The sequence below is a fragment of the Homo sapiens genome, chromosome 9, assembly GCF_000001405.40.
Source record: "Homo sapiens chromosome 9, GRCh38.p14 Primary Assembly".
Classification (NCBI taxonomy): Eukaryota; Metazoa; Chordata; class Mammalia; order Primates; family Hominidae; genus Homo; species Homo sapiens.
In genome coordinates, this window is record NC_000009.12 from 114604970 (window position 1) to 114631098 (window position 26129).

The 26129-nt window shown below is 47.9% G+C and overlaps 1 protein-coding gene across 19 annotated transcripts in view, besides 6 other annotated features; it reads left to right on the top strand.

Annotated features, from left to right (window-relative positions):
- TMEM268 (transmembrane protein 268) overlaps positions 1-26129 on the top strand; it is a 42519-nt gene that overhangs the window by 1066 nt on the left and 15324 nt on the right. For 3 of the 19 annotated variants that reach the window (XR_001746225.2, XM_011518350.2, XM_011518353.2), the window contains exons 1-6: positions 6322-6595; positions 12149-12332; positions 17334-17531; positions 19381-19490; positions 21927-22037; positions 23132-23281. Coding sequence is in view for 16 of the 19 variants with exons in the window: in XM_011518350.2 (XP_011516652.1) it covers positions 12227-12332; positions 17334-17531; positions 19381-19490; positions 21927-22037; positions 23132-23281 (675 nt within the window). In the remaining 3 variants the exon portion in view is untranslated. The other 16 variants (XR_007061260.1, XM_011518352.2, XM_047422923.1 and 13 more) reach the window with 9 other exon arrangements.
- Positions 3052-3111: an enhancer, noted in NCBI's record as "active region_28871". NCBI's record gives its function as "activates an Ori minimal core promoter by ATAC-STARR-seq in GM12878 lymphoblastoid cells {active_cell/tissue: GM12878}" and the evidence as "EXISTENCE:reporter gene assay evidence [ECO:0000049][PMID:35858748]".
- Positions 6234-6313: a silencer, noted in NCBI's record as "silent region_20214". NCBI's record gives its function as "represses an Ori minimal core promoter by ATAC-STARR-seq in GM12878 lymphoblastoid cells {active_cell/tissue: GM12878}" and the evidence as "EXISTENCE:reporter gene assay evidence [ECO:0000049][PMID:35858748]".
- Positions 6354-6563: a silencer, noted in NCBI's record as "silent region_20215". NCBI's record gives its function as "represses an Ori minimal core promoter by ATAC-STARR-seq in GM12878 lymphoblastoid cells {active_cell/tissue: GM12878}" and the evidence as "EXISTENCE:reporter gene assay evidence [ECO:0000049][PMID:35858748]".
- Positions 6674-6953: a silencer, noted in NCBI's record as "silent region_20216". NCBI's record gives its function as "represses an Ori minimal core promoter by ATAC-STARR-seq in GM12878 lymphoblastoid cells {active_cell/tissue: GM12878}" and the evidence as "EXISTENCE:reporter gene assay evidence [ECO:0000049][PMID:35858748]".
- Positions 11681-12180: an enhancer, noted in NCBI's record as "active region_28872". NCBI's record gives its function as "activates an Ori minimal core promoter by ATAC-STARR-seq in GM12878 lymphoblastoid cells {active_cell/tissue: GM12878}" and the evidence as "EXISTENCE:reporter gene assay evidence [ECO:0000049][PMID:35858748]".
- Positions 14398-14727: an enhancer, noted in NCBI's record as "active region_28873". NCBI's record gives its function as "activates an Ori minimal core promoter by ATAC-STARR-seq in GM12878 lymphoblastoid cells {active_cell/tissue: GM12878}" and the evidence as "EXISTENCE:reporter gene assay evidence [ECO:0000049][PMID:35858748]".

Below are 26129 nucleotides of genomic sequence, written 5' to 3' on the forward strand. Positions count from 1 at the left end.
CTCTGCCTTCAGGCTTTTCTCCCAGGACATTAGTGGACTGGGTACTTGGCTTCCTGTAACCCCAGTAAAGCCTTTGAGCCTGATTGAGTAAGGCCCGTAACTAACATTCTGCATTTGTTGGTCTTTATTGTACTCAAGAAAACTGATGGTACCAGAAGTCAGCAAAAGCTGTTCAACAGAAAAGAAACGCTTTGATCAGTCTTGCGTGTTCCTTGTTTTTCCACCTGTTTAATTATTTTTCTCCCCTTGAGGGTCATTCTGGCAGATCTCAGAGTGTTTTTCTCTTGTCAACTGATCTCACATCACTTCAGTGGCTCTGAAATTACTGAAAAAGCTTCAGCACAGGCAGGCAGCTCTAGTTTTGCTTTTTTTTCTGGTTTTTTTTTTCCTTCTTGTGCAAATACATGGGTCTTAAGAGGCAGGTTAAGCACATTCTTTATTGAAAGATTTGGCCAGTGGTTCAGGGAGATCTAGAAGGTGAAAGATCATCAGGTCAACATAGATCTTCTCTGGCTTTTAAAAAAATTTCAGATGCCACTGGCTCCTGGGTCAGCTGTGAATTTAAAGCCATAGTTTACTGTGTTTGAAGGGATGATTGATAGGGATGGGTAGGCTTGAAGAGTTAAGGAGCAGGCAGCCTCCTTTTTTTCCTACTTGAAAATAACTTACGGCCGGGTGCAGTGGCTGACACCTATAATCCTAGCATTTTGGGAGGCCAAGATGGGTGGATCGCTTGAGCTTAGGTGATCGATGCCAGACTGGGCAACAGGGGGAAACCCTGTCTCTACAAAAAATACAAAAGAAAAAAATTAGTTGGATATGGTGGTGGCGCTGCCTATAGTCTCAGCTACTTGTGGGGGCTAAAGCAGGAGGATCGCTTGAACCTGGGATGCAGAGGTTGCAGTGAGCCAAGATTGTGCCACTGCACTCCTGCCTGGGTAACAAAGTTGAGATCCTGTATCAAAAAACAAAAAAGAAAAGAAAATAACTTACAAAGCAGGATGGCAGCATTCTAGATGCTACTGTTGATGATAAGTTTAGGAGAGAAACAAGGCTGGTTGTTCAGAGAGCATGACTGGGTTGTCTACAATTATCTTAGGTGGTTTTTAAAGATGAAAAGACCGATAGTCTAGTTACCTAGTTAAAAAAGCCCAATTGCCTTCAACTGCCCTTGCCTCTTCTCCACAGCCGCTAGAGGGGAGTTCTCCCTCTTCTGACTCTTCTGACCCTGGCACTTGTCTTTCTGTTCATAGTGTAGAAACAGATCCCTGACCCCTATCTGCCCCGGGGGGATTGCTGGCCTTCCTGATAGGAATTCAGAGGATTTTTTCTTCTGACTTAGGCCCGGTTTCCTGACAAACAGCATGTGATCTGTCTGACTTCCAGCACACCTCCTGCCAAGCACAGCTATGTATTTAGTCCCAAGCTCTCACGTACAGTTAGTCTACCTCTCCCATAGTGGAGTCCGTCATTTGAGGATGTGACTTCCGGGAGCTGAAATCAATGTAATGGAGCCACTAGCAACGGAACATTCTGTGGGACACACTTTCGGAAATAATTTCTAAAATAGCTCACATTTATTAACATCAACTTTATACCAGGTGGCATTCAAGGTACTCTATATACATAATCTAATTTTCCTACCATCTCTATGAGGTAGGTATTATCATTTCTATTTTGCAGATTAGGAAACTGAGGCTACAGGGTCACAGAGCCAATTTGTGGTGAAGTCTGGATTTAAACCCAGGTCTGTCTGAGTTCCCAGCCTGAATTACTAATACTGCATTCTTTGGTTCAATTTGTTCAGGCCATGGCAATGTTCCAAGTAGTATGTCTCCATGAAAAGTTTAGGAAGTTAGTGAATCTATAACTGGCACATGAGCTCCAAAAGAAAAAAAAAAAAACCAAAAAACACCAAGATGTAAGTTTTGATCTTTTGATCTTTGCCTTTTCACTTACTCATCCAGCAGTTCTGAGGTTCTCTCAGTACCATCTGCTGCAACACTAAGGTTCTGCCAGGCTGGAAAAAAGTTCATTCTCTTACTTCATCCAAGTTATCAAACAGTGTTGGCAGCTAGCCCTCAGCCCTGGGTCTGTAACCCTTACAGACACAACAGGACAGATGGAGCAACTGCTGAGTAAGGGTGGCTTTGGCTGGGGTTTGTGGTTATTTGGATTTATCTATAGTTGAGGCCCTGATGATTTCATTCATATTTATTCATTCACTACTTCATATGCATTTAACAATTACTGAGGACAGGGTTAGGGGCAGGGGGATAGCTATGAACATGGGTAGAAACAGCCCTATGCCCAAAAGGCTTACTCTCTTTTTGGGAAAGGGGACACTGAACAATGACAATACCATGTGATGGGTATGGGATGAGTGTAGGTTAAGCAAGAGTAGGGCTGGACGCAGTGGCTTACACCTGTAATCCCAGCACTTTGGGAGGCCGAGGCAGGTGTATTGCTTGAGCTCAAGAGTTCGAGACCAGCTTGGGCAACATGGTAAAACCCTGTCTCTACTAAAAATAAAAAATTAGCCGGGAATGGTGGTGCATGCCTGTAGTCCCAGATACTTGGGAGGCTGAGGTGGGAGGATCACTTGAGCCTAGGAGGTCGGGGCTGCAGTGAGCCAAGATCGCGCTGCTGTACTCCAGCCTGGGTGACAGAGTGAGACCCTGTCTCAAAAAATAAAAACACACAAAGCCAGAAACAAACAAACAAGAGTAACTATGAGAATGAACTATGAGAATGGGGAACTGGCCTAGGCCCAGGACAGGGCAGGGCTCCCAGAAGAAGGGCCCTTTCAGCTGAAACCCGAGAATGAGTTGGTTCGTCAGGTAGAACGATGGGGCTGGGGTTTGGAGACAACTTTCCAGATGGGAGAGAATGGCAACCACTGAGAACTAGAAGTGAGAGAACAGGGGGAGAGGGTTATAGGAGGAAATGAGAGATGCTCTGTATTTTTGGAGCATAGGGTTTTTACGTGTTGGGAGAGAGTGAGTAAAGATTAGTCCAGGGTAGGCTGTGGGTGGGGAGAGGCTTGGGCCCACCACAAGGACCTTGTGGATTCAAGATGATCACTACTGAAGTCTGCTTTCCAGCACACCTGACTGGATTTCACCCTACTTTCACTGGATTCTATTGTCCTTTCTCCATTCTACATGAGCACCCACTCCTCCTTGCTATGCCAGGACTGAACACTGGTGACATTTCAGAGATGCAAACACATGATACCTCGTTGTCCAAGAATGCACCACACTTTTACTGAGCATTTTCTTCTAAGCATTTCATCACTTCAATTAATTCTTGCAATCTCCCAGATTAGCAGTTATCTGCCTTTCATAAATGAGGGTATTGAAACTCAGAGAGTGAGCTGAGCTGCCTGCCAATGCCACATGCCAGTAAGTGGTAGAGCCTGGTGGGCCAGCTCCAAAGGCCCCTGTCTTCTGTGCCTCCCTGGTATAGGAGATTGATGTGTCAGCACTAAGTTCACGCTGGAGTGACCAGCAGTGAGAATGAAGAGTAAAGGCAGCCTGGCAGAAAGGGCAGGGGGACCACATCTGGCTTCATGGAGGAGGGCAACCTTGTTGGAGAGGTAGGGTTTAGATAGATGGTGATCAGGCCACACACCTGTTGCAGGATCCCTTTTAATATCCTATCATCAGTGAGTAAAGCTTCAATATCTCTTGAGGCTCTTGCTCCCACGCGTCTAAATTGTTTTTTGTTTTTGTTTTGTTTGGAAATCAGGCACACTAAATAGGGACCTGGTGTGTATTGTTCACTCTTGCTCAGTACAATGCCTGTCCCTTAGCAGGTACTGAATGTCCATTTGTGGATAAATAAATGAATGAACTTCATTTTTAGTAGCCCACTACCTGGATCCTTGTGAATGAGGGTGCCTGGGTGGTATCTACTTCTCAGGTTGCCAATTCCTGCTCCTGCCTCCAATCATGCTGTCTCTGAGGGCTGGCCGAGCATGCAGCCAGCTAAGTTCTGGGGTCTGAGAGTTTCCCAACAATTTGGAATATCTGTTAAAATAAAAAAATGCATGCATAGGCCAGGTGCGGTGGCTTACCCCTGTAATCCCAGTACTTTGGGAGGCCAAGGCGGGTGGATCACCTGAGGTCGGGAGTTCGAGACCAGCCTGGGCAACATGGTGAAACCCCTGTCTCTACTAAAAATGCAAAAATTAGCCAGGCGTGGTGGCACACCCCTGTAATCCCAGCTACTCGGGAGGCTGAGGTGGGAGAATCGCTTGAACCCGGGAGGTGGAGGCTGCAGTGAGCCAAGATCACACCACTGCACTCCAGCCTGGGTGACAGAGCGAGACCCCATCTCAAAAACAAACAAACAAACAAACAAACAAACAAACAAGCATGTACATTCTGACTCAGCACATCTACTTATAGAAATGGGCCAGGCATGGTGGCTTGCACGTGTAATCCCAGCACTTTGGGAGGCTGAAGTGGGAGGATCACTTGAGTGTAGGAGTTTGAGACTAGCTGGGGAAACATAGTAAGACCCTGCATCTACAAAACAAAAACAAAAACAAAAACAAAAACATTAGCCGGGAGTGGTGGCATGCACTTTTAGACCCATCTACCAGAGAGGCTGAGGTGGGAGGATCCCTTGAGCCTGAGAGGAGAGGCCGAGGCTGCAGTGAGCTGTGACTGCACCACTGCACTCCAGCCTGGGCAAGAGAGTGACCCTGTCTCAGAAAAAGAAAAAGAAAAAGAAAAAGAAAAAGAAAAAGAAAAAGAAGGAAGGAAGGAAAGAAAGAAAGAAAGAAAGAAGGAAAGAAAAAGAAACAAAGAGAGAAAGAAATGAAAGAAGGAAAGAAAAAGAAACAAAGAAAGAAAGAGAGAAAGAAAGAAAGAAAGAAAGAGAAAGAGAAAGAAAGAAATGCAGGCTGTGGCATGTTTGCGTGTATGCAACAATGCTGCTATGTGTATCAGGGCAAGGCCTGTCAGCAAGGCTGGAAATCACCTTCATGTCCACTAAGAAAGAAGGGTTAAGAAAACAAAGACCCTTTCTATTAGGTTGGTGCAAAAATAATCGCGGTTTTTGCAATTTTTTTTTTTTTTGAGATGGAGTTTTGCTCTTGTTGCCCAGGCTGGAGTGCAATGGCGCAATCTCGGCTCACCGCAACCTCCACCTCCCGGGTTCAAGCGATTCTCCTGCCTCAGTCTCCCGAGTAGCTGGGATTACAGGCATGCGCCACCAGGCCCGGCTAATTTTGTATTTTTAGTAGAGACGGGGTTTCCCCATGTTGATCAGGCTGGTCTCGAACTCCCGACCTCAGGTAATCCTCCCGCCTCGGCCTCCCAAAGTGCTGGGATTACAGGCGTGAGCCACCGCGCCCAGCCTGTAATGTTTTTAATGGCAAAAAAACGCAATAACTTTTGCGCAAACCTAATATTAATATAGGGACGTTTATGTGCCCCTTAAAAGGAAATGAGGCAGTGTGGCGCGTTCTGGCCGATGAGCGCCAAGGTACTTTGTCGAATGAAAAAGCAGAGTGCCCAACAGAATAGAAAAGGCCTTCCTTTGTGTAAACGCACACACGCACAGGTACATATGTGCTCTAAGGAAAAATACAAGGAAAGCACAAGGTTAGTGTTTTCCTCAGGGGAAAGGTTACTTACTTTTAACCGTAGACCCTTTGAAATTACGAAGGATGGCGATGGGAGTGAGCCCTTGTGAGTATAGCAATTGGGAACACGAGTGAGTATGTGTCTGGTAGCTGTGAACATTTCACACACACTATCTCATTAAATCTTCACACGACCTCATGAAGTAGCTATAATTATCTGCTTTTTACAGAAAACGAAGGCACAAAGAGGTTAAATAATTTACCAAAGACGATAATAAGAAGTGGAGAGACCCGAATCACAGCCTAGTCTGACCCCAAACCAATGCTCTTAACAATACAGCACATACACAATTTTCCATTAGAAACAAGTCCCCGGCCAGGTGCGGTGGCTCACGCCTGTAATCCCAACACTTTGGGAGGCCAAGCAAGAGGATCGCTTGAGGTCAGGAGTCCGATAGCAGCCTGGGCAACACAGCGAAACCCCCGACTCTAAAAACAACGACAAAACCAACCAAACAAAAACCAAACCCAAGTCCCCAATAAACTTCTGGTCTCAAATACTGCCTCATCCACGGGTTCCGTGATTGTGTGTGAGGGGGCTGGACCTCTGGAGTAAGCCGCTCCTTTACAGTGGGGAGACGGCGGGAACCCGTGCCCCAAGATGCCGTGCACGTGGTCGGCTCCGCGCGGAGGCTCCTTCCGGCGTCCCGGGGGGGCGCTCGGCTGATGAAACGCGGCCTCCAGCTCCGCTCCGCCGCGGGCCCGGGAGGCGCGTTCCCTCTTGGCCCCAAAGCGAGTCCGGCGGGCGGCTCCTCGGGGTTGGGCGACCGAGCGGGGCCGGCCGGGCGGGGGGCGGGCCCGTGAAGGCGGCGCAGCGCGGCGCGGGAGGCGTGCTGGGCGCGGGGCTGCGGTGCCCAGAGGCTGCGGCATTAGGGGCTCGGCGCCCCCGACCTTCCGCGTCCCGGGGTGGCGGCGGCGGCGGCGGCGGCGGCGCGGGCGGTGAGTGTGCGCGGGCCCGGGCGCGCGCCCGTGTCCTGCGATCCGGGCTTGGTGCTGTGGGGCTCCGGGGCCGGGAAGCAGCCTGGGCGCCTCCGCCTTGGCCTGCGTTCGGGCCAGACGGCCTGGGTTCGGCGCGGCGGGCAGCCTGCGGGGGGTCCTTCGTGCGCCCTGGGGCCCCTCCCCCGCGTGCCGGCCGTGGGAGCGGCTCTGACAAGCCTCCTGGGGGCCCGCGGTTGGGGAGGGCCAGACTGATTTATGGGGAGAAGGAGATCCCCCATCCTCAGCCGACCTGGACAGTTCCAGAGGGCGGAGACTGAGACTGGGACGAGACAGCTGCCCAAGGCCAAGGCCGTGTATGGCGAGACAGCTCCAGCTGGCGTGAAGGAGCCTGGGTTTCAATTCTGGCCCAGTCCAGGACTGGCTCCTTGACCTTGGATGGTACACTTTCTTTTCTGGGTCTTAACGTCCTCACCTGTAAAATGGAGAGCTCGGACTCATTGTGTCTCAAGGTTTTTCCGCCCCGAAACTTCTGTAACAGGCCCTCTTAGGGTCTCGTGTTGTGTTTTTCACAAACAAAACAAAACCTGACTTAGGAAACTGACGAATCTCAGTGCTGCACATAGTTCCCGGGGAGGCTGGGCACTCGGTGTCTGCAGAGCTGGGGGCCTTTGCGCAATAGGACTTAAGAGTATGTTCCTTTGCAGATGCTCTCTACGGGCTGAAAAAGAGGGGAGTTGACCTTGTGCAAGATGGATATCTGGAAGTTCTGGTTAAAATGCAGAATCAGCAGAGGAGACCCAGAGAAGCTCTAGTTTTCCTGCTTAGTTGCAGGGGCCTCAAGGCTGTGCTCACTCCCCCTGCTCTGCCTCCACCCTGCTGTCTGTCTGACCTTCTGTGTTATCCTCGGGCTGGTGCAGGGCTGAGCTGGATGGGGAAATGGGGTTCAGGACATATGATAGGCATCTGCCCTTGAGGTCTTGCCAGCACCCCTCCTGCCCTCTGCAGCTTCCTGGTTGAATGAGGGGCTGCAAGGTGACCACACAGGCTGCCCTGATGGGCATGTCCTGGCCTCTGGTCCATATCCCTTTCTGCTTGGCACTGGCCTCTCTTGGCTCTCACCTCCACCTTTGCCAAGCCCAGGAGCCTCCTTCCTCCAGGAAGCCTTCCGGAGAACCCTTCCCCCACCCCAACCAAGGTGCTCCCTCTCACTGCCTTGTTGCAATTGTTTGTTTTGTAATTGTCTTTCCCTGAGTTTGTCTTTCCTACCAGATGGTGATCCCTAGCAGGGAGGGCTGAGTAGGAACTTCAGATTTTATTTCCAGTTTCGTGCTCAAGATAGCACAGGGCCTGGCCTGAGAAGGTGCTTAGGAAATGTCTGTGGAGTAAAAATGATGGCAGCTATATTTCTTCAATGATTCCTACTTGCCCAGTGCTATTTTGAGTGATTTACATGTGTGAACTCTTTAAACCTCACAACCACCTGAAGTTACTGTCGTTATCCCCACTTACATGTAAGGAAACTGAGGCAGAGAAGTAACTTACTCAAGGTTACACAGGTGAGAAGCGGCAGGACAGGGCCGGTTACTTTTAGCTATTACAGGAAACAGCCTCCAGGTGAATGGAATAAAGCCTGCTGATTAGTACTTTGTGAGAGGCTGATGGGGCCAAGTAGAGTGCTGTGGTTTCTTCTGAAAGACATTGCCTCATGGGGGGATTTTGCAACAAATGGAACCTTCCACGCAGTCTGAAAGGCTACCTGTGCAACTCCAGCCTGGGCATGGTCCCTCGTGGCTGCTCGGTCCCCCAGGCCTTTTTGAGACTCTAGTACAGCTTCTCTGGGCTGTAGGCCCCTAGCTACGATGTCCCTTCGTTTCTTGTCTGGAACATGGATCTCAGAATTATATCTGCCTCAGGGGCCTAAGAGATGATCAAATGAAGGAGGGAAGGGCTTCAGTGATTATCAAGTGCAGGGCAGAGATCCTTGTGGCTATTTTTGTTGGTACAGGAAGAAAGTAAGGCGTGATGAGAGTGAGAAACACTTAGCATATTTAGGAGAGTCTCCTGCTGTGGGCCAGGTGAGGAGGAGAAGGCCCCTGCCATCCCCAGAGTAGCATCTCAGGGCTGACTTGCATTTGTTGCTTGATCTTGCCTGGGAAATGCAGTCTCCCTTGACTCACTCTTTTTTGTTTTGTTTTGTTTTGTTTTGTAAGGGTGATTTCATGAACATTCTCAGAGACAGTCACACTAGAGTGCAGAGGGGCAAGGGCATGGAAATTATGGGCTTGGACCCTGGAGCCAGATGGCTTGGGTTTATCTCCTGGCTCCATGGCTGGTAGCATAGCCTCCCAACCTTGGGCAAGTCACTTTACATCTTTGACCTGCGGTTTTTTCTCCTGTAAAATAGGAAAATCATGTTGAGGAAAGGGGCCTGTCTGGTGAGCCGAGTACTGGATATTATGCTTGCATTTCCTTCTGTTACATCCCCACAGCAGCTATAGGAGGTAGACCTCTCTATCCCCATTTTACAGATGAGAACAGCAAGGTTCGGGTTGTTAAGTACCTTGACAGCTAATGTCAAAGAGCATGTATGTGGCAGAGTGGGAATTTAAGTCCAGGTTTTCTGGCTCTAAAGTCTTCAATGTTTTCATAGTTTGCTGCTTTGTAGCCTTAGAGCCCAGTGCAGGGCAGATACATGATAATTGTTAAAGGCTTGTCTTTTACATAGTCTTGGTTGGGAGAGGGGGCTCCTAAGTGATCTTCCAGAGCTGAAAATCGGGGCCAGCTTCAGGTGCATGCAATCTGTGCAGTCACACAGGGTCCCCCACTTAGGAAGCCCCTCCCATTTGGTTTAATGCTGTGCTGTCGCCATCTTGAAATTCTTCATTATTTTTGTAGAAGAGGCCCCACATTTTCATTTCGCATTGGGCCCATTCTGTAGCTGCTGCTGTTTAAAGTATTGAGAGAAGTGAAAAATGGTGAGGGCATGAGAGCCCTGTTCCCCCTCTAGGGGGCCTGATCAGTGGCCATCAGCCCTTGGGCCAGCTTGGAATCATGAAGATGTGTGCTGACTGGCCACTTCATATCTTCACAAACATCTAGAACCATGGCAGCAAAAGACGATTCTAGTAGACCTTTCACCAAGATGGTTAGTTAGCAGGGCTGGTGTGTCATCCCAGGGGACATAAGCCTGATTTTCCTTGGTGAGGGGTGATTTTCAGGCCTGCTGGAGGACACATAACAGAGGTAAATGTGCAGGTTGCTGCTGGAGGGAGTGGCACTGGAAACTCAGTTTCTCATTAAGGAAACACCCATGACAGGTGTCACTGCCTTTTTTTTTTTTTTTTTTTTTTAAGATGGAGTCTCTCTCTGTCGCCCAGGCTGGAGGGCAGTGGCGTGATCTCGGCTCACTGCAGTCTCTGCCTCCCGGGTTCAAGTGATTCTCCTGCCTCAGCCTCCTGAGTAGCTGGGATTACAGGCGCCTGCCACCATGCCCGGCTAATTTTTGTATTTTTAGTAGAGACGGGGTTTCACCATGTTTGCCAGGCTGGTCTCAAACTCCTGACCTCAAGTGATCCGCCCGCCTCAGCCTCCCAAAGTGCTGGGATTACAGGCGTGAGCCACCGTGCTGGGTGGTGTCACTGCTTTTGCTGATGAACGTGACTGAGTGGTTCCTGCTACGCCTCTCAATGACCTGGCTGTAGGGGCTTTGGAGAGTGTCCTTTGTTCAGATGCTGTTGTATGTCCTTTATATGTGTCATCCATTGATCCTTTGCGGCAACCCTGTGGGGAGGGTACCCAGATTTGGAGAGCTGAAGCTGTCTAAGATTAAACCACTTGCCCAAGTTGACATAACTAAGAGGTGGTAGAGCTGGCTTAAAAACATTTCTTTTTTGAGGCTAGTCAAGTGCAGTAGTGAGAAGGGGAGAAAAGAGTAGAACAAGGAGTTTGGTCTGTAACTGACTGTGAACACACAATTGAGATAATGCACTACTTTCAGAGCAGCCTAGAACTGGCGTTTAAACTGGTTAGTCTGACTTTGGAGACCATGTTCTTCAAAACAAACCACCACTGTCTCTGCTAGGGAGCCTGATTGCTTGAATATCTGGGTATTTTTGTTCTCTGTGGCTGCTACTTTTTTCTTTTTTTTGAGACAGTGTCTTGCTCTCTCAGGCTGGAGTGCAGTGGCACGATCTCAGCTCACTGCAACCTCCGCCTCCCAGGTTCAAGTGATTCTCCTGCCTCAGCCTCCCAAGCAGCTGGGATTACAGGTGCCCACCACCATGCCTGGCCTAATTTTTGTATTTTTTAGGAGAGACGGGGTTTTGCCATGTTGGCCAGGCTGGTCTCAAACTCCTGACCTCAGGTGATTCGCCCACTTTGGCCTCCCAAAGTGCTGGGATTACAGGCATGAGCCACCGTGCTCGGCCTACTTTTCTTTTTCTTTTTTCTTTTCTTTTTTTTTTTTTTTTGAGACGGAGTCTTGCTCTGTCGTCCAGGCTGGAGTGCAGTGGCGCGATCTCTGCTCACTGCAAGCTCCACCCCCCGGGTTCACGCCATTCTCCTGCCTCAGCCTCCCAAGTAGCTGGGACTACAGGCTCCCACCACCACGCCTGGCTAATTTTTTGTATTTTTAGTAGAGACGGGGTTTCCCCATGTTAGCCAGGATGGTCTCGATCTCCTGACCTCGTGATGTGCCAGCCTCGGCCTCCCAAAGTGCTGGGATTACAGGTGTGAGCCACCGCGCCTGGCTTCTTTTTCATTTATATTTCCTACCATCTGATTTTGTTTGTTTGTTTGTTTTTGTTTTTGTTTTTGTTTTGAGACAGGGTCTCTCTCTGTCACCCAGGCTGGAGTGCAGTGGTGCAATCTCAGCTCACTGCAACCTCTGCCTTCTGGGTTCAAGCTGTTCTGCTGCCTCAGCCTCCTGAGTAGCTGGGATTACAAGTGTGCACCACCACACCCGGCTGATTTTTGTGTTTTTGGTAGAGGTGGGGTTTCACCATGTTGGCCAGGCTGGTCTCAAACTCCTGACCTCAGGTGATCCACCCACCTCAGCCTCCCAAAGTGCTGGGATTACAGGCGTGAGCCACCGTGCCTGGCTGATTTTTTTTTTTTTTAATGTGTATTTTGCAGTGTCTTACAGGAAGCTACTTGAAATCCTGTGTGTAAACAAGACTCCCTGTAATGAATATACCTGTCCTGTGCCTGGTTGCCTGGGGCATCCTCTGTAAGGGAACAGAAATCCCAACTGCCTGGCAGTGGGGCCTGGTCAGCTCTTGAGTTCCCTGTGGGCCCCTGGCTGTGCCTGAGCTGGAGAAGACCCAAGACCAGAAGGGAAGTTCTCAGTTTGGGCCTTGGAAGGTTTTAGTTTCTCTTCCTCCTCCTTCTCCTCCTGGGAATTTTTCTCAGCATGTTCAAAAAGGCCAAAGTTGGCAAAAAGAGTCCGGGTAACTCTCCCTGGCCTTTGGTGACTTTGGCCCTGGAGACAGCCCCTAGGAACCCCGGCTTGCCCAGGCTCAGGCCTGAAGTTCTTTTTTGTGCTGTTTTCTGAAGGCATATGATGCTGAGCTGGCTGCTCCAGAATGAACCACAGCTCTGAGAAGGGGAAGTAGAAACAGCTGGCGCCCTGCCATGGCCTGTGAACCACAGGTGGACCCGGGGGCCACTGGCCCATTGCCCCCCTCCTCCCCTGGCTGGAGTGCCCTGCCTGGAGGGAGCCCTCCTGGCTGGGGGCAAGGTAAGATCATGACCTTTCATTTTCCACCTTCTTTCTACCTCATGCTGAACTGGACTCACAGGGCACAGAAGTTCCTTTAGATAAGGTCAGGGGGAGGTGTCTTTGAGGCCATATTCTGTCATTTTTACCAGTTCTGTCTCTTGGCCTTAGACCAAGCCACCATCACTCTCTGCTGAGCCCCTGCTGTAGCTTGCTTGTTGGTCTTCTCTTTTCCATTTATTCTTTACATGGCAGCCAGAGAGCTCTTTATTATTTATTTATATTTCTGATTTATTTTTACTTATTTAGAGACAGGGTCTTGCTCTGTTATCCTGGCTGGAGTGCAGTGGCGTGATTGTAGCTCACTGGAGCCTGGAACTCCTGGGCTCAAGTAATCCTCCCACCTCAGCCCCCTGAACAGCTGGGATTACAGGCATCCACCGCTACATCCTGCTAATTAAAAATGTTTTTTGTAGAGTTGGGGCCTTACTTTGTTGCCCAGGCTGGTCTCAGACTCCTGGCCTCAAGCAGTCCTCTGGCTTTGCCTTCCCAAAGTGCTGGGGTTACAGGAATGGGGCCCAGAGGTTTTTAATTTTTTATTTTTTTTATTTTTTGAGATGGAGTCCCACTCTGTTGCCCAGGTTGGAATGCAGTGGCATGATCTCGGTTCACTGTAGTCTTCACCTCCCAAGTTCAAGCAGTTCTCCTGCCTCGGCTTCCCGAGTAGCTGGGATTACAGGTACCCACCACCACGCCCAGCTAATTTTCGTATTTTTAGTAGAGATGGGGTTTCACCATCTTGGCCAGGCTGGTCTCGAATTTCTGACCTCAGGTGATCCGCCCACCTTGGGCTCCCAAAGTGCTGGGATTACAGGCGTGAGCCACCACACCTGGCCCCAGATATCTTTTTAAAATACACATTTAGTCCAACCATGTCAGTTTCTGCTCAGTGTTTTCCATGGGGCTTAGTGTGAAGGCCTGCCTTCATATTCTTTGCTGTGCTGTTTTGCCTCAGGACCTTTGCACCTGCATTCCCTTCTGCCTGTTGTGCTTTTCCCTTGCCTCCTTTCTCCTGATGAATTTCTATTCATCCATCAGACATGGTGGCTCACACCTGTAATCCCAGCACTTTGGGAGGCCAGGGTGGGCAGATCACTTGAGGTCAGGAGTTCAAACAGTACTTGAGTACATGTTTACCTGGCCAACATGGTAAAACCCTTTCTCTACTAAAAATCAGCTGGATGTGGTGGCGGGCGCCTGTAATGCCAGCTACTAGGGAGGCTGAGGCAGGATAATCACTTGAACCAGAGAGGCAGAGGTTGCGGTGAGCCGAGATCACACCACTGGACTCCAGTTTGGGTGACAGAGTGAGACTCCATCTCAAAAAAAAAAAGAAAGAAAAAGAATTTCCATTCATTCTTCAGAACTTAGTTCAATATCCCTTCCTTGAAGAATCTTCCTGGTGGCTCAGCCTAAGTCAGGACCCTCTGATATATTCCTGTTTCTCCCTCTAGCATTTATCATAGTCTGTAAATAATTATGTATAAAGTGTTGAAGTCTGGCTTCTTCACTAGAGTGTAAGCTCCCTGAAGGAAGGGGCTTCTGTCTTTTTCATCCCTGTATCTATAGTACCTAGCACAGACCTTGGCCCATAGTAGATGCTCAATCAATATTTTGTTGAATGAAAGAATTAATGAGTAGCTGGATATGGGCAAGGGGAAACAGCATCCAGAATTGTGGGGGCCCACGGGAATGTGGAGGGTTTTTTAGAGGCTTTGAAATTTGACTGCTTAAAAACAAAGGCTTCTTTTGTTACTAGTGTTGTTAGGAAAGCAATGTGTGTGTATATATGTAAGGAAAGCAGTGTGTACACACACACAAAAGTAGAACAAGATGGAATGAAATAATTTTTCTATCAGAACTTTGAAGACATTGCTTCACTGATTTTTGGCACGTCAGTTCTTGTTCCTTTGTAGGAAACTGCTTCCCCCTCTGCGCGTGCGTGCACGCGTGCACACACACACACACACACACACACACAGACACACACATTTTTCTTTGGTAGCTTTACTTAGCCTAGGTGTAAAAACAAGTATTTTTAAGCGGAGGACTTGCTGTTCTCACTTTAAGGAACAGATGAGAGCTGGTATTGCCAAGAATCCAGGAACTCTTGGTTCGAAAGGCAAACAAAGACATCCTGAAGGATCTTTGCATTGCTTGGGCAAACACGTAATTCAGTGTACAACGACCTAGACCTGGGAATGGTTCTGAGTCTCCATGCGTGGAGTCCAAATCAACGTGGAGTTTTCATTCTTGCTGTGGACTGGAGAGCTGGTCTGAGACCGGATCTGCTTGACTGCCTGCATTTTTGCACTACCTTCCCTTCTTGCTTCTTGTTCTCACTTTCATTTTCCCTGTTTACAAGGGAGTTTCTTCACTTTTCAAAGGCTCAGTTTTCTTTTCCATGCTGATGGTACCAAGCTTCGGGGGCTCTTGGAGGATGAAATGAAATCATGAATGAAGCCCAAGCATAGTGCCTGGTGCTTAGTAAATGGCTCCACATCCAGAACCTGTTCTTATTGTCTGCCTTTTTTTTTGTTGTTTTTTCTGGTTTTCCTCATTTGCTTATTTTAAAATTTATTTTTAGGCTGGGCATGGTGGCTCATGCCTGTAATCCCAGCACTTTGGGAGGCCTAGGTGGGTGGATCGGATCACCTGAGGTCAGGAGTTTGAGACCATCCCGGCCAACATGGTGAAACCCCATCTCTATGAAAAATACAAAAAATTAGCCGGGTGTGGTGGCGCACACCTGTAATCCCAGCTACCCGGGAGGCTGAGGCAGGAGAATTGCTTGAACCTGGGAGGCGGAGGTTGCAGTGAGCTGAGATCGCACCATTGCACTCCAGCCTTGGTGACAAGAGCGAAACTCCATCTCAAAAAAAAAATTATTTTTATAGTTTTAGTTACTTACTTATTTTTTTTGAGACAGGATCTCACTCTGTTGCCCAGGCTGGAATACAGTGGCGTGATTTTGGCTCACTGCAGCCTTGACCTCCCAGGCTCAGGTGATCCTCCTACCCTAGTCTCCCGAGTAGCTGGGACGACAGGCACGTGCCACCACGTCTGGCTAATTTTTTGTATTTTTTTGTAGAGACGGGGTTTTTCACCATGTTGCCCGGGTTGATCTCAACCTCCTGGGCTCAAGTAATCCACTTGCCTCAGCCTCCCAAAGTGCTGGGACTGCAGGCGTGAGCCACCATGCCTGGCCAGTTTTATCTTTTCATATTTTATTTTTATGAAATAAAATATGGAACAAGGTGTGGGAGGGTAAAAACACAAATAAATCAATGTTGCTTGATTGTAACTTTTGAGTTGTGACAAGCTTGCTTTTAAATTATGAAAATAGCAGCCAGTTATTTTGTACCCATCTTGTGCTGAGCACTTTATTTTTATCACGTTAATTATTTGTAAAGTCCTTTGCAGTGGATGTGTACGTCCTCTAAGCAAGGAAACAGGCCCATGGGTTTAAGTTTCCTCCTCAACTTTACCATGTTAGTGAGAGGCCGAGCTCCAATTTGAACTCCAAAGCTATCTAGCTTGTGTTTTCACCACTCACCACCTCGCCTCCTTGTCCCCCACCACTTCCAAAAAAAAACAGGAGAGAGAGAAAAAAAGCAAAATAAATTTCTTTTTGGCAGGAGGTGGAATTTAGAATTCTGTGGAACCCTTGAGATCAGAGATGATATCCCAGGGTATGAAAAAAGAACCTTTTCCTCTCTGGGTGCAGTGGCTCAGGCCTGTAATCCCAGCACTTTGGGAGGCTGACATGGAAGCATTCCTTGAGCCCAGGAATTTGAGACCAGGCTGGGCAACATAGTGACCTCATCTCTACAAAATAAAAAATTAAAAAAAAAATTAGCTGAGTGTGGTGGTGCATGCCTATGATCCCAGTTACTTGGGAGGCTGACGTGGGAGGATTGCTTGAGCCTTGGGAGGTGGAGGTTGCAGTGAGCCATGTTAGTGTCACTGCACTCCAGCCTGGGTGACAGAGTGAGATGCTGTCTCAAAAAAAAAAAAAAGAAAAAGAACCTTTTCCTATCTTATTAATTTGTTTATACACCAAACGTGTATTTAATGTGCCTCCTGTTTGTATCAGATCAGGGGATTCAGTGATGAACAAACCAGTGTGAGAGTGTATAGTCTGGTGGAAAAGATAGATTTTATTCAAGTAATTTCATGCATATGTAATCAAATAATTGCATACATAGGTATTTAGCTTGGGCGAGTATTAAGGAGAAGAGCGTCAGTTATGGTAGGTTTAGCAGAGGATTTGATCAGTTAGGAGTTTAGAGTGTCAAGGAGGCCTCTCTGGGGAAAGTGAATCATGAGCTGGGATACAAATGATGCATGGGCTGTAACTGGGTGAAGCTAGGTAGACGTGTCCTAGAGAGAGGAACAGTATATGCAAAGGCCCTGGGGTGGGGGAGAACATCATGTTCAGGGACTGAAGGAGGCGGGTGTGGTGAGACATAGAACGAGGCTGAGGGGCTCAAGCTGAGTCTGGCAGGAGGCTAGTTTTCCTAAGGGCTGGAAGAACGTGGTAACAAGGTTGGCTTTTGCAAAGCAACAGGAAGCGATTGAAAGTTTTCTCAAGGCATTGGTGTCATCTGATCTGCACCCTGGCCACTGTGTGGAAGATGCATTGTAGAAGTAAAGGTAGGTTTGCAGCAGAAGCCACTTAGGAGGCTACTGCAGAGGGCCAAGGGAGAGGTGAGGATGCCAGGAGGGCACAGAGTGGACAGATGTTTTGTTTGCCTAGTTGGCAGGGCTTGGTGATACATTGGGGGAGCAGGGAGAGAGAGGGTTTGGATAGGCCAGGAATTTCCTGGAAAGTGGAGTGAGTCATTTGGCTTTGAAGACTCAAGTACTGTTCAGAGCTAGACTGGGGTGACAGGAGTTTTGGATCAGCAGACAACACACTTATGCTTTAATCTCTTCTGTCCTGCCTCATTGTCTAAGCAGCCGCCATAGAGAATATGCCAAAATATCCAGTCCTCAGCAGTGCATGGCTGAAACCTGGGATCCTAGAATCCCAGGGCTGGAATCTCTCCCACCCCCCAGACCTCCTGGCTGCTGACCAGTGGCTCACAGGGCCTTGTACTGTGGTGCAAGGAGATCTCGATCCTTTTGTCCAGTTTCTCTACTTGGAACTGCAGGCAGGTAGGTTTGGCTTTGTGCTGCTGCCATTCCTCCCTGGTCTTGAGGGGATTTCAGTCCAGACTTTTCTCTCCAGCTGGTCTCATGGTCTGGCTTCATCCTACCCTTGGAGGGCGGGGGCTTTGGTAGCAGTTGTGAGCAGCCTGGGTTGATGCGTGTTTTTTGAGGGAATAAACACGTATTTTATGCTTTTGAAATGCGGAGTGTGTTGCAGCCATACGTAGGAGGGATTACAGTAAATCAGTGTATTAGTTTTCTATTGCTGCTATAACAAGTTACCACTAACATACTGGCTTAAAACCACGGATTTGGGCCAGGTGCAGTGGCTCATGCCTGTAATCCCAGTACTTTGGGAGGCCGAGGCGGGCAGATAACATGAAGCTGGGAGTTTGAGACCAGCCTGGCCAACATGGCGAAACTGTGTCTCTACTGAAATACAAAAATTAGCCAGGCATGGTGGTGCATGCCTGTAATCCCAGCTACTTGAAAGGCTGAGGCACAAGAATCACTTGAACCTGGGAGGTGGAGATTGTAGTAAGCTGAGATCGTGCCACTGCACTCCAGCCTGAGTGACAGAGAGAGACTCTGTCTCCAAAAAACAACAACAACAACAACAACAACAACAAGCCAAACCAACCACAGATTTGTTATTTATTTATTTATTTATTTTGAGATGGAGTTTCATTCTTGTTGCCCAGGCTGGAGTGTAATGGCGTGATCTCGGTTCACTGCAACCTCCACCTCCCAGGTTCAAGCAATTCTGCCTCAGCCTCCCCAGTAGCTGGGATTACAGGCACGTGCCACCACGCCCGGCTAATTTTTGTTTTTAGTAGAGACAGGGTTTCACCATGTTGGCCAGGCTGGTCTCGAACTCCTGACCTCAGGCGATCCATCTGCCTCGGCCTCCTAAAGTGCTGGGATTATAGGTGTGAGCCATTGCACCCAGCTGGATTTGTTATTTCATAGTTCTGTAAGTTAGATGTCTGACACTGATCTCACTGAGCCGAAATCCCCTTGGTGGCAGGACTGTTTTTCTTTCTGGAGGCTCTGGGGAGAATCCATTTCCTTTCCTTGTCCAGCCCCTTGGGGCCACCCACATTCCCTGGCTCATGGCCCTCTCCCTCCATGGTCAAAGCGATCGATGCCACATCCCTCCTTGCCTTTCATCCATAGTCAAATCTCCCTCTGACTCTACTTCTGTCCCGCTTTTCCACGTTTAAGGTTCCTTGTGATTTCATGGGGCCCACCCGGATGATTCAGGATAGTCTCCCTATTAAAGGCCAGCTAATGAGCCCCCTTACTTCCACCCTTTGCCATGGAAGGCAGTATATTTGCAGGCTCTGGGGATTAGGGTGTGGACATCTTTGGGGCCATTGTTCTGCCTACTGTGACCAGTTATTTCTTACTTAGACTCTCTGAGCCTACTGGGAATTTAACTTATTCAGCTGAGCATTCTTTGCAATGCTTAAATAAAGGTCCACTGCATCACCCCCCTCAATGTAGTTTTTCAGTCTCTGTTTAAATATTCCTTGTGTTGGGGAACATTTTTTTGTGGGGACAAAAAATGCCTATTTTTTATGGGGACAGCTTTTGCTCTTGGAAAATTCTTCCTTATATGGTCTCACATTGTGGTCCTAGGAGCCTCCTCCCTCTGGCCTTAATTCTGCCTCCTGGGGGCTTCCCAGTCAAATCCAGTCCTTCTCTCAAGAGGATTTGAGGATGGCCACCGTGTCCCTCCTTGTTGCGAGGAGGTTCTCATGGCCAGAGGTGTGATGCCGCCAGGCTTCGGGCTCACCCCACGAGCCTGGTATGGTTATCACTCAGCCAGATGAAGCTTCTGGTCTGCTTCCAGAGCTCCACAATGGCCAGGTCCTCACTGTTCTCCGGATTGACAATACCTGTGCACCCATCTCCTTCGACCTGGGAGCCGCAGAAGAGCAACTGCAAACTTGGGGCATCCAGGTGAGTGCTGATTTCCTTGAATCCCTACCATTTTCTCTTTCATCCATTCATCCCTCTATCTTTTCATCCAGTTTTTCACAAAATCTTTATGAAACAGTCTGTACCAGCTGTCGTAGGGTATATAAGGAAGGTATATTAGAAGTGCCCTCTCTTTCCTCTCTTCCCGGTTAACTCACTTAACAAATGTGTATTTTTTTGGGTGCCCACTCTGTGCCAGGCACTTAACTGGCTAAACATAATAGGGGTGGACAGGACACAGTACCTATGTCCACAGATCCCAGCGGGGAAGATGGACGTGTGTGGGAGAAATTGGGACAGTATCATATAAATGCCACAGAAGAGGAATGCACAGGCAGTGAAGACATTCACAGGAGAAAATGAGAAACTTGCCTGGGGGAAGAGGGCAGTGGTTGTGAAAGCTTTGCAGAGGAGCAGATGCTTGATCTGGGATCTTGAATAAATAGGAATATGCTGGGTGGAGAGGAGGAAGGGCATTTTAGGAGAGGGGACTGCATATACAAGGGAAAGTCCATATGAATTCATTAGATAATGATGCAGTACCTTCAAGCATAGTGATTTGAGGCCAGGCTTCACAGACCTGTGGAACTGGATGCAGATCTAGCTCCGATGCTCACTACCTGTGTGACTTTAGGAAGGTGATTTAACCTTTCTGAGCCTCAGTTTTATCATCTGTAAATGTGGATAATATTGATCCCTATTACAAGGGGTTTTTGTTAAGATTAAATGCAATAATGCTTGAGGAACCCTGGCATTGTCTCTAGTATATAGTAAATGCTCAATACATTGTAGCTATTATTGTTATGAAGTACCTATATGTATGGGTTTTACTCTCTTCCCAAAGCCCCCAACATGATCAGGCCTTTCCTGTGCTAGCCAAGGCCAAGGAGGATTAAGGATTAATTATGAATAGGGTAGATATACTGCTAATTTTAGCCTGAAGATTTTAGAATTTACTTCTTCTTCTTTTTTTTTTTTTTTTTTCAAGATAGAGTGTTGCTCTGTTGCCCAGGCTGGAGTGCAGTGGCGCAATCTGGGCTCACTGCAACCTGTGCTTCCTGGGTTCAAGTGATTCTGATGCCTCAGCCTCCCAAGTAGCTGGAACTACAAGCATGCACCACGGCTGGCTAATTTTTGTATTTTTTAGTAGAGACGGGGTTTCACCATGTTGGCCAGGCTGGTCTCGAACTCCTGACTTCAAGTGATCCACCCGCCTCGGCCTCCCAAAGTGCTGGGATTATAGGTATGAGCCACCACGCCTGGCAGATTGGGTTTTCTTATGGGTGAACAGTTTACGTATTGTTCTACCGTGTTCCTAAATATAATTTTTTTCAATTCAATTCAATTAATTAATTAATTAATTTTTTGAGACAGAGTCTTGCTCTGTGGCCCAGGCTGGAGTACAGTGGTGTGATCTCGGCTCACTGCAACCTCTGCCTCCCGGCTTCAAGCAATTCTCCTGCCTCAGCCTCCCGAGTAGCTGGGATTACAGGCACGTGCCACCATGCCCAGCTAATTTTTGTATTTTTAGCAGGAACAGGGTTTCACCATGTTGGCCAGGCTGGTCTCAAACTCCTGATCTCGTGATCCGCCCGCCTTGACCTCCCAAAGTGCGGGGATTACAGGTGTGAGCCACCGTGCCTGGCATTCTTTTTTATTTTTATAAAAAGAGACAGGGTCTTGCTATGTTGCCCAGCCTGGTCTTGAACTCCTAGGCTCAAGCAGTCCACCTGCCTTGGTCTCCCAAAGTGCTGGGATTACAGGTGTGAGACACTGCACCTGGCCTAAATATCATTTTAATGGTTAAGTTCTGTTTTCTTAGTTCTACTCTCACGGGGCCTTTATATTCTATAGACGCTTTTGTTTGGGCAGGAAGATGTGAGTGTTCAGTCTTTTGGACAGCATTAATAGATATTGATATTGCAGTATTGATAGTGGCAACTCTATATTGAGTGCTCACTGAGGGACTGGCCCTTTGCTCAGCACTGTACATGTATTATTTAATATGTACCTTAGTTCTACAAAGTGGGTACTTTTATTATCCTTATTTTACAGAGGAAAAAACAGGCTCAGAGGAGTGGGGTTACTTGCTCCAGGTCACACAGCACATGAGTGGCAGGGCCAGAGTTTGGGCCCAGGGCTGTCTGACTCCAGGGCCTATGCCTTAACCATCAGGCTGCCCTGTGTCTGCTGCAAGGTACTGAGTCTGAGGCTGTGTGGATCCTTCTCCAGATGTCATGATGCCTGTTCTTCCCTGAGCTGAGAGCTGCACCATGTGACTTCCACCCAGTGCTCCAAGCTCCTCATTCTGCCTTTGGGACAGCCCAGAATGTGCCTAATCCCCCTTCCACATGATAGTCACATGCACTGGAAACTGGCTGTCCTGCGGCTGATTGATCTCTTTCCCTGGGTTCCAAGCAGGTCCCGGCTGACCAGTACAGGAGCTTGGCTGAGAGTGCCCTCTTGGAGCCCCAAGTGAGAAGATATATCATCTACAACTCGAGGCCTATGCGGCTGGCCTTTGCTGTGGTAAGGGGGAGGTGGCCCGCACACTGACCCTGCCCTGACAGCTTATGGCACCACCAAATTCAGCACCGTGTCTTGGAGCCTGTTGGTGTGGGTCAGGGGCTTGGGGGCTGTTGGCCCAGGTGCCTGGAAACGAGCAGTACATATGGACATTGATTTGGGATCAGAGGAAATTTATGGGAGAGAGTTGTAACCAGGTCGTTGCATAAAGGATGGGAGTCAGGGTTTACTGTGGGCAGAGCTTGGGATTGGGAGTCTGCAGATCCACCCAGGCTCTGGGCTCAATATCTGGCCTTGGCCAAGACTTTCCTCCTCTCCGGAACTTGGTTTCCCCATCTGCTCAACAGATGGGTTATTTCAGCTCTATTCATATATACATGTACATATATATGTGTGTATACACATATGTATATATATATAAAATATATGTATACATCTTCATATTGATACATATAAACACTTACATACATAAATGACAGAGCCAGGATTTGAACCCAGGCAGTCTGGTTTCAGCGTCTGTGCTTGGAACCACTGTGATTTGCTGCTGTTTTGTATGTATAAATGGTCAAATAGCACACCTGACTCCCAGGTCCCACTTCTAGGGAGAAGGGAAAAGGGTGGGAACCAGCATTGATTCATTCCCTGGTGAGTGCTGGGCTGTTACTTATGTTGCCTTGTTAACCCTTATTACAATGCCGTGAAATAGGTGTTATTATCCCCATTTTACAGATGAGGAAACTGAGACTTAGGGGAGTTATAAATTGTCCAAAGCCATATAGTGCTTGAAGGATCATTATGGTCTTTGAACTGATATTTGTCTCACTTCAGATCCACCTGCCTTTTTCTGTTTTATTTAAAATTAAGGTAAACAAGGATTAGGAGTAGCTACTAACCCTTTTTGTCTACTTTTGCTTATAAACAAGGAACATTAGCTCATTCTCACAGATCCAGGTGACTGCATCAATCTCTTACTGGTGCTGTGAGCTGTCTGAATCCAAGGAGGGTATCAGTAGTGTCTGAAAGGTGTCCCTTTGAATGGAGCTGCTTTATGCAAGGACTGAAGTTCCTGACCATGCTCTCTGTCTGGCATCTTGCAGGTTTTCTATGTGGTGGTGTGGGCCAATATCTACTCTACCAGTCAGATGTTTGCCTTGGGGAACCACTGGGCTGGCATGCTGCTCGTGACCCTGGCCGCGGTGAGCCTGACCTTGACTCTTGTGCTGGTCTTTGAAAGACACCAGAAGAAGGTGAGATGTCTGGAGATCCCTGCCACACTCTCTCCAGAAGAGCGGTGCAGGCGTGAGAATCAGATTTTTCCCTTTTGCCTCCCTCAAAGAATTTCCCTGGCCATGAAAATTCACACTAGCCCGTAAGCCCAGTGACTAAAAGAAATCAAATTGTGTATGTGATTGTTCTCTCTGCTTTTCCTGTCTAATCCCTGTGGATTGTTTTTCTGGAAGCAAGCTGTGTTTTGGGAATGTGAGAGGAGAGCAGTAATTGCCCGTATCCTGACAGTACTTTAGTTAACTGAGCCCTCTCATGCACTTCCTCTCCCTGGGTGCTCACAACAGCCCTATGAACAAGGGAGGATTACTGAACCCACCCTGCAGCACAGGGTGCCTAAAGTTGACGTCTGGGGAGAGGTAATTTACATTATTCCCTCCTGTGACGGGCAGATGCCGACCTGGTGCTCTATTGACAGTCATGTCTCTAATCCCAGCAATGACCTTTGAGGCAAGGTGGGTGGTCCGAGAGTTTAGGTAACTTGTCCTGGATCCCACTGTTAGTGACAGAGCCAGGGTTCAAACCCTGAGCCCTCTGGTTCCTGATCATGTTCCGAAAGGAGGTGGATACCTCCCAGCTTGATGTATGATTTTAATTGTTTTCTGTCTCTTCAGTGTCTGTCTTTTGATATGTACTGAGCACATCATATGTAGTAGGTCCTCTGTTAAATGCTTACACATTAACTCATTAAATCCTTCGACATTAAATCTGGGTAGAGGCTGTTACACTCACTTTGCAGTCGAGGAACCCTAGACTCAGGCTCATAGAGTAGCCCTGGCCATGCTGCTAATAAATGCCAGAGTTGGAAATCAAGGCCAGGGCCTCAGATTCCAAGCCATGTTCTTAGCCACAACGCTAGAGAAAACTGTTGGTTTTCCAAAGCTGCTGTAACAAATTACCATGAACTTATTGGATTAAAACAACACCAATTTATTATCTTCCAGTTCTGTAGGTTAGATATTTGACATAGGTCTCACTGGACTAAAATCTAGGTACAGGCAGGGCTGCTTCCTTCTGAAGGCTCTGGGGGAGAATCTGTTTTCTTGCCTGTTTAGCTCCTAGTGGTCCTCTGCATTCCTTGGCTCGTGATCCTTTTCTTCATCTTCAAAGCCAGCAATGGCAGATCCAATCTTTTTCACATCTCCTTCTCTGGCTCTTTTGCCTCCCTCTTCTACTTTTAAGGACCCTTGTGATTACATTGGGCCAGCTGGATAATCTGAGATAATCTCCTAATTTTAAGGTCAGCTGATTAACAACATAAATTTCATCGGTGGCTTTAACTCCCCTTTGCTGTGTAACAACATTTGCACTGGTTTTGGCGAATAGGATTTAGACATCTTTGGGGACCATTTCTCTGCTACCACACCTATGTTGTCTTTCCACCTACTTGGGAAGCTCTTGTTCCTCCATCCCCCGATCCCTGGCACAGTGCTGGACTCTGATCTTGCCTGACTCAGAAAGAGGGGGCAGGATGTTGGGAAATGTAAATCAGCATTTGGGGTGTGAATTCCACTTAGTGCGTGTGTTCACGAGACAAACGGGAACTATATGGTGTACTCATTCTGTAAGGATCTTTGTTGGGCTTTGCCACAAGACTGACAAAATAATGCTGCCCTTGGGGTCTGTTGAAGCTTTCATGGCCCTTGTGTTTGGCCTATAAAACAAATCGAGCTGGCTACTCCTGCAGCAAGAACTTTGTCTTGGGGAGGGGAAGAAGCAAAGTGTTTTGTTTTAGTTAGCAGGAGCAAGCAAAAAAGATTGGCACCTGACAGGTGCTTCGAGGATGTGGATGTAATTCACATGGTGGAGGGAATGCCTGCTTTGGCTCTCTGCCTCTGTCTCTTCTTTCCTCCTTTTATTCAGCTGGTATTTATGAAGCCCTTGATAGTACCAGGACATACCTTGTCAGGGCCGCACAGCCAGGAAACAGCAGAGCTGGGCTCTGGCCCAGGACTGACACTATTGAATTTACTGTTCCAACAATATATATCTATCCATCCATCCATCCATCCATCCATCCATCCATCCAAGACAGGTCTTACTCTGTGCCAGGCACAGATCCCAGAAAATGCGCAAGGCTTGTGTGCAGCATGGAGGTCTCAGGTGCATCCTGGCAATGCCATCATCACTGTCTGCTCATTTAGGAGACTCCTTATTTTCTTCCTAATAATGTCCATCATTTCATGAGCACCTATTGTATGCTGTATGCTTGGGGCTTCACGTCTATGCCCAACAACAACCTTATAAGGAGGCAGGATACCGCCGCCATTTGCTAGCTCTGCAACTTGGGGTGAGTTACTTAATCTATCAGGGCCTCAGTTTCCTCATCTAAAACATGAGATAATAATTGTAGCTCCCTCATAGGGTTATTGTGAGAATTAAATGACTTAGACACACAAAGTGTTTATAATAGTACCTGGTGTAAAGTAAATGCTTTGTAAGTATTAACTGTTATTAACTCTGTTTGCCAGTGAGGAAACGGAAGTTCAGAGAGGTTAAGTAACCAGTCCATGGCCACACAGCCCTTCTCAGGTCTTCTTTTGGGTCTCAGCTCCAGGACCTCCTCCTCCCTGGATCCCTTGTCACTCAGGACTATGCAGATCCCCTCTTCCTGACCATTGTCACTCTTACTGTTAGCATCCTCTCTGTTGTTACTTGATGTCTTTGAGAGCATCAATGTCTGGCATAACTGTCTTGTTTTCCCTTTGGCTCACTGTTAGCCTTTCTCAGGATTGGAAGATTTGGGCCGGGCATGGTGGCTCACACTTATAATCCCAGTACTTTGGGAGGCTCAGGTGGGAGGATCACTTG